Below are 14,928 nucleotides of genomic sequence, written 5' to 3' on the forward strand. Positions count from 1 at the left end.
TTATTTTTCCAAGGATGGGTTTATTTCAAAATTGTAAAGATTTATATATTATTTTTATTACATATAATAAGCAATTTTTAGCTTAAAATAAGTTTCACATTTAAAGTAAAAAAAATCTTAAAAATGCAGACATTTTTTAAAAGCAAAAAAGTTTAATTATCTTGCAGCACAGGTCTACCTTTAAATATTCACATTTCAAAGCTGCTTTGAAAAGATTTAAAAATTGGCTAAAAATAATTTACAACTGGCAGTGATTAAAAATCTTATCTTTGGAAAAGTATATTAATGACACATAATGAATTTAAAGTTACAAGCATTTAATGGTTTAATCAAGCATGTAGTTTTTACCAGTATACAAAATGAGACTTAGTACAAAACGGTCTTCAACTGTCACGTCAGTTGTTCCTGGAGTGTTTTATGGGGAAAAGCAAACTTCACCAAACATAGAGTACCAACATTCAAGTGCTCTTTTCCACAAGTTTCTGATTTTCAACTTAGGAGAGAAGAACAGCATTTAATAACTGCATCCCTGGTGGAAAAGAGAGGGAAAAAAACAGAATATAATATTCCTCAAAAGCAAAGTTGCGCAAAATGTTCCTGCTAAATCACCTTTTTTAACAGAACTCAATGGATGCTCCAACACACTTTTTGATTAATAAAAACTTTGTTCAGTATCATTTAAGATTAAGAGCTAAGATTTGAAAACATTTTGCTGATTTTTGACATGGTATTTATCTTAAGAAATTTTTACTGGCATATACACTGATCTCAATCAAAGAAATAAGTTTAAATACCAAAAATAACCTAACAAAAGATCTAACTTTTTTCTTTTTTTTTCCTTTTGAGACAGGTTCTCACTCTGTCTTCCAGGATAAGTGCAGTGGCGTGAGCAGATCCTCCCACCTCAGCCTCCCAAGGAGCTGGGACTATAGGGCACACCACTACACTAATTTTTTTTTTTTTTTTTTTAATAGAGATAGGGTCTTGCTATGATGCCCAAGCTGGTCTCAAACTCCTGCGCTCAAGCCATCCACCCGTCTCAGCCTCCCAAAATGCTGGGATTACAGGGATGAGCCACCAAGCCCAGCCCAAAGATTTAATTTTTAAAAAGAACTAGGCCAGGCAAGGTGGCTCACGCCTGTAAGGCAGGTGGATCACTTGAGGTCAGGAGTTCAAGACCAGCCTGGCCAACATGGTGAAACCCCATCTCTACTAAAAAACACAAAAATTAGCTGGGCGTGGCAGCGGCAGCACGTGCCTGTAATCCCAGCTACTCAGGAGGCTGAGCCAGGAGAAACTCTTGAACTTGGGAGGTGGAGGTTGCAGTGAGCAGAGATCACGCCATTGTACTCCAGCCTGGGTGACAAAATGAGACTCCATCTCAAAAAAAAAAAAGAACTAATGAACTGAGTTTCAAAACTGTAATGTTTATAACTGAATCCTCAGAATTAAAAGAAGATTGAAGTGTGACCTTTCATATTTTCTTCCAAAACTGTTATTACTTGATACTTCATTCATTAAAAAAGCTTTTACCTAGGCCATAAAAAATATCCACTAATAAAATTCTTATAGGCAAAATCTGTACATTGCTTATTGCTCTCGAGTGTGGGATCCTGTGTCTGGAGAGGCTGGTCATGTTCTTGAAGTCCTGCCATCTCTTCAGAGCCTCTTGTATGGGACATCACGTCTAGAGGTCCTTTCCTCCGCACCAAGAAGTATTGGAGGTCTCCTTGCTCTAAAGTTCCTATGCATGGTAAATTACCCTTGCACACTCCTGTTAAGCAGCTTTCTCACCTGTAGCTAACTTTGTTTTGCTTTTTCTCCTTGTAAGTATCTATCAGAAAGAATCATACATTTGAAATGGAATAAAAATAAAATTTCTACCAATTTCCTTCACTGTTCGTATTAAAGACAATTTTGCTGTTTTTAAATATATAACATATCTTTGAATTTCACAAACAGGCAAAGCTGTGCCTCACCAGAATCTTTTTCTAAATCTATCAGATTTAAAATTGGAACTAGTTTTGTTTTCTCCTCCACGGCTAAATACATTTCTCTGGAAAAATATTTTAAAATGCCGGTTACCTCTTGACATACAATTAAAATGTTTTTGCTGACCAAAAATAAGCATTTATGTGTAAGCCCTCATTTTCCCAGTAACTTCCTTTTTTATTGAGATGGAGTCTGGCTCTGTCACCAAGGCTGGAGTGCAGTGGCACGATCTTGGCTCACTGCAACCTCTGCCTCCTGGGTTCAAGTGATTCTCCCACCTCAGCCTCCCAAGTAGCTGGGATTACAGGCGCCCACACCACACCCAGCTAATTTTGTATTTTTTAGTAGAAACGAGGTTTTGCCATGTTGGCCAGGCTGGTCTTGAACTCCTGACCTCAAGTGATCTGCCCACCTTGGCCTCCCAAAGTGCTAGGATTACAGGTGTGAGCCACCGCACCCAGCCGTAACTTCCTTTTCTTAAGTAGAATTTGTTTTCCTGGAGTCTCTGTGTCCTATTTTCTGAACTCCTAAAGCCATGGAAGGGTCCAGAATCTCATCCACATTCCCTAGTGCACGCCAGGCAGCAGGGCGGGAGGATACTCCCCACAGAGCTGCTCCATGTCGCCAAAATGTTTCCATACAGACATTATCATGGCAAGCTGCTATTCATCTCATTGAAAACATGTTTACTGCCGGGCGCGGTGGCTCACGGTTGTAATCCCAGCACTTTGGGAGGCTGAGGCGGTAGGATCACAAAGTCAGGAGATTGAGACCATCCTGGCCAACATGGTGAAATCCCGTCTCTACTAAAATACACAAAAAAATTAGCCGGGCATGGCAGTACGCGCCTGTAGTCCCAGCTACTTAGGAGGCTGAGGCAGGGGAATCTTGAACCCAGGAGGCAGAGATTACAGTGAGCCGAGATGGTGCCACTGCACTCCAGCCTGGCGACACAGTGAGACTCTGTCTCAAAAAAAAAAAAAAAAAAAAAAGTATGTTTATTTCCTTTTAGGAAATTAAAATCAACCAAAAAAAAAGGGTTTAAATAGTATTTTTATGTAAAAATTACTTAAATTCATATATTTGTGTGAAGATAAGTAAAGAACCAGAAAGAAGACAAGATTCAAACAAGCTTACCTTGCATATGGGATGTACGACAGGCTATACCTGCAAGAAATATTCAAGCATGTTGAATCTTCATCTGAATGATGGTTTTCCTTTATGCCAAAAGGCCATGTCTAACCTTATAATAAATACAGCAGCATGAGACTGTACAGTGGTTCTCAAAGTGTGACCCCGACCAGCAGTGAGAGCATCATCTGGGAACTTGTTAAAAATGTAAATTATTAGGTCCTACCTTAAACCTCCTAAATCACAAGCTTGCTTTAACAAGCAACCTGCACTTTAAACAAACTCTCTAGGTGATTCTGGTGCATGCTAAAGTTTGAGCTTCTTATAATAAAATAGAAACTGTACCACAACTGATAATTATAGTCTCCTTTAGGGATAAATCAATTATTAGTTACAAATTAGGCAATAAAAGGCAAAATACTAGAGAAAATAACCAAGAGATTAAGTTTCTTCACATATCAGTGAAAAAAAGTAAAGAACATTTTATGGTGAATTTGAGATATACAGAGAATTACATTTAACATTCACTGATGTTTCATCTGTCAGTAGAAAGAAGGCCGAAAGAAAGGTGATCCCAAACTGGGTAATGTCGAGTAAGAGGAATGTAAAATGGCAAAACCAGGAAGCAAAAATTAGGAAGCAAGAGCTGCTCTAAAGGAAAAGGAAAAGTACTCTTCACTAACACAGAAGAGCGCAGGAGCTGCAGGGCACGTTTAATCAACCACCCAGATATTTATGGCCTTTATGCAGATGAACTCTTACTGTGCGAGACACAAAAAGGCTACAAGGAGGACAGTCTGAGCAGAAACCAGGACATGACTGAATCTTCACAAAAGTGGACTGGGAAAGGCAGTGCAGGTGAAGCACCTCTGATCTGAAATGATAGGAACTAGAAATGTGTTGGATACTGGATTTTTCTGGATTTTTGGAATATCTGCATTACATTTACTGGTTGAGTATCAACCAAATCTGAGCATCATGTCAGCGTTCAAGAAGTTTTGGATTTGGGGCTGGGCATGGTGCCTCACATTTGTAATCCCAGCTACTTGGAAGGCTGAGGCACGAGAATCACTTGAACCCGGGAGGCAGAGGTTGCAGTGAGCCAAGATAATGCCACTGCACTCCAGCCTGGGTGACAGAGTGAGACTCTGCCTCAAAAAAAAAAAAAAAAAGTTTTGGATCCTGAAGCATTTTGGATTTGGGATGCTCAACCAGTAACTTAAGAAGTATTTAATCACTGCCAATTCAGAAGACATCTCCAGATATCACAGGGCCACAGAGTCAACATCAGGATAAATTCCACGTTGTATTTATCCAGCAATAGAGTGGAGAATGCAGGTAAACTCATCTTCCCTTGGACTCACCCTGTGATTTGGTCTCACTTTTATGTACTCACATGGCATCACCTACTTTTCTTATTATTTCTCTTTCTCACATTAGAAAAAAGCAGAACATATCACTATGTAACTCTACGAGCACAGCACCCCATACTTCTCCCGAACAGTACCACTGAGCCACGCTGTCAAGTGCAACAGGACTCATCGCAGACCTCCCCTCCTCTGACCCTGCAGGGCCTGTCTGGCTCCAAAACACCAGACGAAATGCTAGGGCTTCACAGGTCCCAAACAAAATGCTCGTCACGTCTCAGGCAATTTTAACACTTCACTAGGGTAAGGAAAGACTTACCAGGTCATTGACAAGAACTGCAATATGCAGAATAACACAGCCAGTCCCTTCTTATGCCACTAACAACAGCAAAAACAGAGCAATTATGAGTTTCAAAGTTTTAAAAACATCTTTCTCAATCAAACTTAATTCTTGTCTTTCAAAAATGTAGATGATGGCTTCATTTATCTTTATTAAATTTTAGTGTGATAAATTTAAGATACAGTTGATCTGAAACTTTAAAACCCAAAAAATACATTTCCTTTCTAAAACTATATCCATTAATTTAAATACTGCAAAATATATGACTTTAAATAAACGTTACTGAAACAATTGTGCATAGACTGAAAACATTAGACTTTTAAAGGTGGTTAGGTCTTTAAAGTCAATGTTAACTTATCTAGAATCGACATGTAAAATCCCACTGAGATCTGTATGCCCCATGTGAAATTTACTTATTTTACTCATTCCCATTTGCTCCTTGAGTGATATTTTGAAGGAAAATTGTATTTTATTGTGATCTTCTGGAATAATATAAACAGTTTCCATGGTTGTTTTAAAATATTTTCAGAATTCCTTGTCCATCAGTGCTTTTTTACTTATTTATCTTCAATCTACTGTTTATAAGTAAACAGGCAATTCCAAAACCAAAAATCAAGGTTCTATAGAGAGGTGCAAGTTAAGAATATTCTTTTATCATTAAGAAATGACACGTAAATCAATCTCATATAACTAAAGTCCTGTCCTTACATCATCAAAATAAAAAAAAAACTGGAATATTTCTGATAGCATTCTAAAATATCTACCCTTTCTTCTTTAAAATGGGACTTTTCTTGTTGATAGTTCAAGAACTGCTTCAAACCCATTTGGGAAATAGGTTGAGTACAATAGAAAAATATGATGTAGAATCAGGAGATCAAGAAGTAAACGGAATTGTAACAATGTGACTTCTTTAAAGGCTAATGAACAGCTGTTAACCTTCTCCACAGGGTAGGAGAATGATTTCAGTTCCTCTCTTTGTTGTTACTATCTGTGTTTTCTGGCCCTCTCTATTGGTTTTACACCTTGCTACTCGGCAGCACACTTGCCTCACCACTGCAGACTCACAGCGCACCCCTGCAGCAGCATGGTGGAGAGCACAGCCCCTGAGCCAGGGCCCTTCACCACACCGGGCACTGTCAGATTTGCCAACCAGGCCCACAAGCAGGTGAGCTCGGGCACACATGTGTGTTTATTAATGACCTCTACGCTGTAGACAGCAGAATCTATGGCACATTTAGCCACCAGCTGGGTAGGTGAGCATGTGTGCACATGTGTGTTTACTGACTACCTCTATGCTGCAGACAGTAGAATCTATGGCACATTTAGCCACCAGCTGGGTGGGTGAGCATGTGTGCACATGTGTGTTCACTGACTACCTCTATGCTGTAGACAGTAGAATCTATGGCATTTTTAGCAACTAGCTGGATGGTAACATGTCAAATTTTAGGAACACCTAATCTTTAGAGAGTTTTAAAAAAACAGATGAGCTATTTTAAGATAATGGTGTGATGACACGTCAGCTGGGGTGGGGGGCACACAGTTAACTGAAAGCCAGTAGGGCTGACATAACTTACCCAAAGAGCAGCACACAGGGTAAATATGAAACACAACTACAGGGGAAGAAAGAGTAGATTATAAGTTTGAGATCCTTTCAAAAGCCTAATAAAAATGCATAAACTATTCTGCATTCATTTACATAGGGAATATACTATAGAACAAAAATAAGAATACAGCTGAATAGTTTTACTTGTATTTTCTGTAAGTATTATTTTACTTTAAAGTCTATGACTGCAATATTCCTTGGCAAATTGGAAGCATCTAATAATTTAATCTGTTAAGTAAACTGAAAGATGATCATTCCACATCCCCATGAAAGCAAGCAGGCACAGGAGTGAATGCAAGAGGTGGGCAGTGTGGTGTTGGAAAGACCTAAAGAGATCCCAGCTCTGACGCCTGCTATCTGAGGGTCCTTGGTGAAGTCAGTGGACTCGTCTAAACCTGTTGTCTTCTCTTTAAAATGAGGAGAGTTCCTACCTACCTGCTTTAAAGGGCTGTTGTAATGAATAAGGTAGAGTGCATCCGTGATGGGCTTGAGCTAGAAGCTGGCATGTGGAAGGCTCTATGTGGCACAGCCTCTTCACCACCATTACTAGGCGTGATCTTACGTGGGCAGCAAATCAAACCACGCAAAGTGCTCCACCTTGGGAGACGTCTTATATGTTCAAACGTTCCCACGTTCTCTCAACATGTGTGTTTTTGTAAGGTACAGTATGTTACTAAAAAGTTTGAGGGGTAAGTGCCAGGATTTCTTAAATAAAACTAACTAAAATCTTAGTGGAATATAAACTACTTATATTCTAACAGTGAAATATACTTTGTTAGTAATCTGAAGTTAAATGTTTATATATATGTTGATACATATGCTATTATAGGAAATTCAAAATAATTGGAGATTATAAAAGTGGTAAGAAACTATGAAGTTGAATAAAGACATAATAAATAAAGCTAAAAATGAGTTTTTACTCTAGTGAGGAGATGGGAGAAGACTGCCAGGCAGATTAGAGTTAACAAACATTTCCTTATAAATTAACATAGGTTAGCTGTGTTTGGAAAGCTAATGTTAATAGTTATAATGGTAACATTTAAATTCTTTAAATATCATAAATGCTTGAAGGCAAAAGAAATCCACAAGAGACACAGACCAGGTGAGTTAGGAGGCAGAGGCAGGATGCAGAAGAGATTTGGGTCCCCCTCCTGCCCACAATACACAAAACGATGATCAGCTGAACACCCAGCACGTATGAGAATGGAAACAACCTTACTAGCCAAAGTGTAAGCTCTCATCTACCCGCCACCCAGGCTCAAGATAATAAGAGTGATGACCTGAGAGTTGTGGACAGAACCCACAATGTAATGGAAGGCACCTTTAAAGATACTGTTACGGGAGCCATATTGTTAGAATTTGTCAAGTTGGCACACAGAGAAGGGACAAAAGTCAGATGACAAATGATGCTAAATCTCACCCTCAGCATAGAGGGTGTCTATGCCCACCCTCTAAAGGGTACAAACTAACAATCCCTCATGAAACCATCAGCAGGGCTTAAAAATGAAAGCACACTCAGCTCTAGGCTCCATTTAAATACGCAGCTACACCATGCCATATACGCAGCAGAAGCAGGCTTTACCCAGCCAGTAGTCTTAGACAATACTGTACCATCTGAACTCTATAACCACATAGGATATATTTTTTTTTTGGTTTTTAGATGGAGCTTCACTCTTGTTGGCCAGTCTGGAGTGCAATGGTGTGATCTTGGCTCACTGCAACCTCCACCTCCCAGGTTCAAGTGATTCTGTCTCAGCCTCCCAAGTAGCTGGGATTACAGGTGCATGCCACCTCACCGGGCTAATTTTTGTATTTTTAGTAGAGACGGGGTTTCATTATATTGGTCAGGCTGGTCTTGAACTCCTGCCATCAGGTGATCCGCCCACCTTGGCCCCCCAAAGTGCTGGGATTACAGACGTGAGCCACCGTGCCCGGCCGGATATAATTATTATATTCAACACAAGAAGTATACATACAACCCTGAAACTTAAAGTATAATAATAAAAAAAAATAAAAATAAAAAAAGAAGTATACATACATAACAGGCAATTATTCGTAAAATAACAGTGCAAAGAATACTTCAATAAAAGTTTTAAAAATGTATTATTTACTTACAAGCATAACAATTGTTGCAAGCAATCTTGTTGCTTCAAACATTTTCTTCAGTTGCTTCACAGGTCCCATTAAAAAGCATGTACTATTTGAAACAAATAAAGTGACTGAGGTACAGGTCTACTAATTTATCTGGTTATGCAAAAATAAACTACTTTTTTAAAAAAGAAGCCCTGTTGCTTTATTTAATTAAAATCTCTCACTAAAATTTTTTTTTTCCTTAACTTTATAAAGAAACTTTACAACTATACCAATAGACATGCTATGGTGTGAAGGTGTCTTCTCCAAAATGTAAGTGTCTTCAGTGTGTTAGTATGAAGACCGGACTAGGCTGTGAGAACTCCTCCCTTTGAAAGGGATCAAAGGCCCTTGGAGGAGAGGCTGCCTGGGGGTTGCTCTTTCCTCTTCTGCCCTGGGAGGACACAGGGATCTTCCCCTTGGGGGATGCATCTATCAGCAGGATGGATGTGCCTTAACCTTGGACTTCAGGCCTCCAACTGTGAGAAAAATTTCTATTCTTCCTAAGTCGCCCAGTCTACAGTATTCTGTTACTGCAGCATAAAAAGGGCTAAGACAAACAACAACCCAAAGATGCGACAAAGATTCTCAAAGAGGGATTCTCATACTCCCAATATAAAGTAGCCCTCTGTCACTACTGCCACACCCTGTTTTAATTCTCTGCACAGCACCAATGCCATCCCATCTTTTTCTGGCTTATCATGTGAACATCTTCTTCATTAAAATGTAAGCTCCACAAGAACAAAGCCTAGAGTGCAGCAGCTCCAAGCCTGGGCTCCGGATTCCCACCTCAGCCATGGTGGGATCCCACCTCCGGATTCCCACTGCCTGCAGGATTCCCACCTCAGCCATGATTTAGGTTCATCGCCATGGGCAGCACTGACTCCCCTGCTCTGTGCTATTATCTCCAGTTATAAACGGGGATGATAATACTGCCTACCTCACAAGCTCGTCATAATACATACAAAACACTTAGAACAGTCCCAGACACACATTAAGTGCCCCACAAAGGCTGGCTATTCCTAGCACTAATACCGTCTGTTATGGGAGACGGCATACAGCAGCAGTCAATACATATTTATTTAATGAATGTAAATCCTGTGGCTGAATTCACAGTATGTACAGAACTACATAAACATCCTACTGGGAAAGTGCTTATTAGAAAGGTAAATTTGGTAGCAAGAGCAAACAAGATATTTTGAGAAGCCAAACGTACCTGGCTAACGCAGCAAGATTGCCGAGGGTATAAAACACTGCAAAAAGCTTTATGCCGCCCGGAAGCCACAGCAATCCAGTTCCCTAAGTTAAGATATTATAGTTATTTTAAAATAATTTTATGATTTTAATGGTTAAAATATAAACGTGCTACTGCAGTAATACAATACCAATATTATGTAATATGTTTAAATACAAATCTGCTTGTAGACAGTCTAGTCTGATTACACAGAAAAAATAGTTAATTTTCAATGTTATACACTAACTTGAATCTTCTTCCTATTTGCACTAGCATATATAAATGAGCCATAACAAAACTTTGTGCTTACCAGTAAATCTCAGTCTATTTAAGTTAAATTTTCATGCTAAATACCAAGTATGAAAAGGTAATAAACATCTAAATTACTGACTCTCCAGATCTTTTAACACATTGATACATTTTTCTTAAATTATTTCAACTATCCACAAAACTCCCCAAAATACTAATTTCTACGTATTTTCATTGATCTCTACCCCTTTATTTTAGTTTAATAAATACCTTCCACCAAAATGGTCTAACAGGGATTTAGTAAAGGACATTAGTTTTTGGTACTAAATGGAATTATTAGTCTAATACAAAATAAAAATTATTAAACAATATAAAGCCTTAACTCACAAGAATAGAAAAGAAAACGCCACATACGAAGCAGATGGCAAACCATTTCAATCTGGTGTTGAAACTAAGGGATGAGGCATCCAGGACCTTAATAAAAAATGGGAAAATTTAGAATATAGTCTTAATTCACTACCAATCTGATTCTTTATACTAAATTAAAGCAAAGTTTTAACACATAGTCTGAATCATTTATTTTGCATATCACAGTGTCATTCAAGAATACTAAGATTCCACGGTTGTTAAGGGTAATATGACCATGGTCTGGGTAGCAGATGATGCTGAGGAATAACCATTAATTTTGCAAAGTCTGATAATATGTTTCACAAAAGTCCTTATCTGTTAGGGACAGCCGATATACACTGATATGGATAAAATGACATATAAGATATATTATAAAATATACAAAGATTAAAAAAACACAGGGGGCAGATGCAACAGGCCAGGCAAAACACTGAAACTGCAGAGGCTGGGAAAGAGTACACAGGTTCATTATCTGTTCTCTCTGCCTCTGCAGGACGAATTCCTCAGGCTCCTAGATGCCAGAGTCTGAGTGCATCCGAGTGCATCCGCACTCAGTGCAAGTCCTGCTGGAGGCAGAGGCTGGCCTTCCACACGCCACCTCCCTTCGGCCGGTCATTGGCTGCAGGCCAGGGGTGGGGTGGGGTGACTGCACCCCATGGAGGGTAGAGGACGCTGGCCACCTACAGGAGGCAGCCTGAGCAGCCCCAGCAGAGACGATCACAGCACGCACCAGACGGTACCCGTTCTAAGCTCTTTCAGTCCAACCCATGAAAGTTTTGGGCCCCTCCTCCACCACTGTAAAAACATACTGTGAAATGATCATTTATTCTAGAGCAACAGCATTCCTATATACCATGCAAATTCTAGCCAAATTATGTGGGGAAAAAAGTAGAAATTACTAAGTCTACTTTGTACAGTATGATAACCCAGCACACAGTAGTGGTGAAATAAACACACTCAGATTACTAATTATACTATTAAAATATATTTTCCAAATAAGGCTAAAAAAGTATCTATCAACAGCAGCTGTGCAAGAAACTAGAAATATACAGCAAGGATTTATATTCCAAAACTTAAATTTCTAATTTATACTACCACATCCACTTAAAAATAAGACTACATGCTTATATTTTCAAGAATAATGAAAAATAAGAGAAAGTTCTATATGCAACAGTTCAAAATACATTTGGTTACATTCCTTACCTCAAGAGATTAATCTGTGAATCCTTATGTAGCATGAAAAGCAGATAAAAATAACTAAGTATTCTGTAATGAAACATATATCACTCTTTAACACATTTTAAATGTTTTTTAAGTTTTAATTCACATTCTTGTTTCCAGCAATGTCATCTGTTTATGGCAAAACTAAACACTTGGTTTTAAACAAAGAGTGAAATTGCCTATAAAAACATCTACATTTCATTCTTACTGATCAGGAAGAATATACACTAAGTATATTTTAACTACGCAGGCCAGAATAAACTGCAAAGACTGAATTACATAGTAAATGATCTGTTAAAAAAAATGGAGACACGCCCATCAGCTTCATTTAACCATCCCACAAAGTATACATAGGTCAAAACATCACGCTGTACACAATAAATGTATATAACTTTTATTTGTCAATTAAAAATGGAAAGAATAATGATTTCTAAAGGTTCGTGTGAGTCCACAATGCTGTGAGGATTTAGTGAGAGGAAAAAGCATCCATTTTTCCTTCTTTTCCAAGTTCAAATCACCCCATTGTTCACAAGTTCAATCGCTGCTTTTCAATAGCCAGTTTTTCTCTCAGCAAGGAAACAGCACGGCTATTTGTATAATAGTAGGTATTTTTTCCTCCTATTGCCATCTTCCGTGTATTGATCTTTAAAACGAAACAGCAGGACAAATTATTTCCACTTGTAAACATGGAATATTCAATCCACAAGCAAATGATTTGTCTCAAGTCTTGCAAATTGTCTAGGATACGAAACAACTATACAGATTTCCTGACTCCTAATTGGGAAAACTGTGATATGCTTCAACATGAAAGAAAACCTGGCAGTGCATCTTCCAACTAGGAGACAGAAGGAACCCTGACGTCTGCTTATCACAAGCATTTTTTTGAGACAGAGTCTCACTCTGTTGCTCAGGCGCCATCTCAGCTCAATGCAACCTCCGCCTCCCAGGTTCAAGTGATTCTCCTACCTCAGTCTCCCAATTAGCTGGGACTACAGGTCCACGCCACCAGGCCTGACTAATTTTTTGTATTTTTAGTAGAAACGGGGTTTCACTATGTTGGCCAGGCTGGTCTCAAACTCCTGACCTCAAGTGATCACCCGCCTCGGTCTCCCAAAGTGCTGGATTACAGGCATGAGCCACGAGCCACTGCACCCAGCCTGCTTATCATAAGCATTTATGTGCTGCTTTCTTTTACCACCAATCAGGAGCAATCCCACCAAAACCAGCAACTTTGTTAATCTCTTAGTCTTAGAAAAGAAATAAAATTGCCACCTCTTCCTCTCCCAAAACCACCATCCATCATTTTACTTATCTGCTACCAGAGGAAGAGGAAGCCAAGAGAATACAGGCCCTTGAGGAGGGGCTGCTCCCCTATTCCCGCCACAGTAAGCACAGCACTGCTTGCAACTAGAACTTCATTCATTAATTTTTTACAAAAGCAGGTGAGAAACATAATAGAGGAAAATGTAGTCCTAGCAGCAACAACATGAAGGCTGAATGAGTGGCTCCCACAGCACAGCCGAAACCCACCCCTTTAAGTGACGGAGAAGCTGAGGAACAGCTCTAATCCACGGATCGCCAGGAGACAGCACAGCTGGAAGGACCTGAGCCTTGCCCCTGGGCTTCTGCCATCTAAACATAGGAAACACTTGTGGCTTTCCACTAATGATGACACTGAATCCAGTATTCCTCCCACTCCTTTTTCAAAATAGCAGTGGGTATAAAAAGTCAAAGTTGTGCAGACAAGTGAGAAAAAGAAACAGACATCCGCAGACCCTCAGGCCCATTCCAGGCAGAACCGCCCGCTCCCCACACCCGCTGCTGGGGTCCACACTTTCTCCTTCTCATTCAGGACTCTTGATCGCGGGGCCTATCCAGATCCTTGCAGCATGCGGCACGGGTTCCACGTGTGCGTGGGCAGCCTGGCCTTTCTGTGCAGCATCCCCTGATCTCCACTGGCCTTTCCCCTCCACTCCACTCAGTGACCCAGCCCAGGGCAGTCTTCCTGCTCGAAATTACACCATCGCCAAAATTCCGGCTGCCGCTCTCCGACCCGTTTCTTCTGGCAGCAGGCTGGTTCCTCGGCCCCACCGTGCTGACTCCTTGGCCTCCTGAACTCCTCATCCGGCCCTTCTCCGTTTTTTCAGCGGCTTCAACAGGACATTCAAATTCCCTTTCCGCTGCCTCCACCTGGTAAAATCCCACCGGAGTGCAGCTTTCCCTCCTCCTGCTCCAGGAGGTGCTGAGCTGAGCACTGCTGGGTGGAGTCAGGCACAGGGCAGGGGGGTCCTGAGCCAGTCCTCATCAGCCCCCCATGGCCTGCACATTGCTGCCTGGCAATCTAAGGCTTCTTGCTTTATCTCAACGTCCATTTTACTCTAAACCACTTCAAACCTCCACTTCCTGCCCCACACTTCCATTCTTAGCAGACAACTTCCCCTACTTCACACACAGAAACCCAAAGCCATCAGTGTGAACTCCCTTACCTTCCTGCTGCCACCAAACCACCAAACCACCAAACACACCAACTAAGAACACCCATGCTCTTGTCCTTTCCTGGTTCCCACAGAGCTGAGATCCACCTGTCCACCCTGCTTTACAGCCAACCCCTTACCTGCTCAGGGAATTGATGCTATTGGGCTTTTTCCTCTAGTGAACATGTTCTCACTCTCTGAAAATGCATCCATCAACTTTTAAACATGAAGTCCCTTCCATCTTAAACAGAAAGCTTACTTCACTTCACCTTCCAGCCTCTGTACACTCATACATCCATTCATCCATCCATCCATCCATCCACTAACTGGCTCAATAAATACTGAGTGCTGCTATGTGCCTGTTCTAAGTGCTGGGTAAGGGATCCAGCTCCTGGTTAAAAATCTATGTGCTGGCTGCTACACCAAAAATACCATAGGCCAGGCACTGTGGCTCACGCCTGTAATCCTGGCACTTTGGGAAGCTGAGGCAGGCGGATTGCTTGAACCCAGTTCAAGACCTGCCTGGGCAACATGGCGAGTCCTCCATCTCTACAAAAAATACAAATATTAGCCAGGTATGGGGGCACACACATGTAGTGCCAGCTACTTGGGAGGCCGAGGTGGGAGGATCACCTGAGCCCGGGAGTCAGAGGTTGCAGTGAGCCGAGATCACACCACTGCACTCCAGTGTAAGTCAGAGTCTCCCAAAGAGCCTAAACAGCTGTGGAAGCTCCTCACTGGAGGGCCGACTGTGGAATCTCGGCACTGGAGGGCTGAGC

General features: G+C 40.7%; 1 protein-coding gene and 1 pseudogene across 4 annotated transcripts in view, besides 2 other annotated features; one reads left to right on the forward strand and one right to left on the reverse strand.

The window, feature by feature from the left end:
• Positions 1-14,928, reverse strand: part of SFT2D1 (SFT2 domain containing 1) — a 22,818-nt gene continuing 7,890 nt past the window's right edge. Inside the window, exons 2-9 of one of the 4 annotated variants that reach the window (NR_130112.2) lie at positions 11,658-11,680; positions 10,434-10,520; positions 9,780-9,862; positions 8,549-8,630; positions 6,405-6,440; positions 4,810-4,868; positions 3,130-3,159; positions 1-529 (exon numbers count right to left, since the gene is read on the reverse strand). Coding sequence is in view for 1 of the 4 variants with exons in the window: in NM_145169.3 (NP_660152.1) it covers positions 490-529; positions 3,130-3,159; positions 4,810-4,868; positions 6,405-6,440; positions 8,549-8,630; positions 9,780-9,862; positions 10,434-10,520 (417 nt within the window). In the remaining 3 variants the exon portion in view is untranslated. The remainder of the gene's footprint in view (positions 530-3,129; positions 3,160-4,809; positions 4,869-6,404; positions 6,441-8,548; positions 8,631-9,779; positions 9,863-10,433; positions 10,521-11,657; positions 11,681-14,928) is intronic. The other 3 variants (NM_145169.3, NR_130114.2, NR_130113.2) reach the window with 3 other exon arrangements.
• Positions 5,753-5,912: an enhancer, noted in NCBI's record as "active region_25431". NCBI's record gives its function as "activates an Ori minimal core promoter by ATAC-STARR-seq in GM12878 lymphoblastoid cells {active_cell/tissue: GM12878}" and the evidence as "EXISTENCE:reporter gene assay evidence [ECO:0000049][PMID:35858748]".
• Positions 13,893-13,942: an enhancer, noted in NCBI's record as "active region_25432". NCBI's record gives its function as "activates an Ori minimal core promoter by ATAC-STARR-seq in GM12878 lymphoblastoid cells {active_cell/tissue: GM12878}" and the evidence as "EXISTENCE:reporter gene assay evidence [ECO:0000049][PMID:35858748]".
• The window catches only part of HNRNPA1P49 (heterogeneous nuclear ribonucleoprotein A1 pseudogene 49), a 904-nt pseudogene continuing 816 nt past the window's right edge, over positions 14,841-14,928 (forward strand).

Source organism: Homo sapiens, chromosome 6 (genome assembly GCF_000001405.40).
Source record: "Homo sapiens chromosome 6, GRCh38.p14 Primary Assembly".
Lineage (NCBI taxonomy): Eukaryota > Metazoa > Chordata > Mammalia > Primates > Hominidae > Homo > Homo sapiens.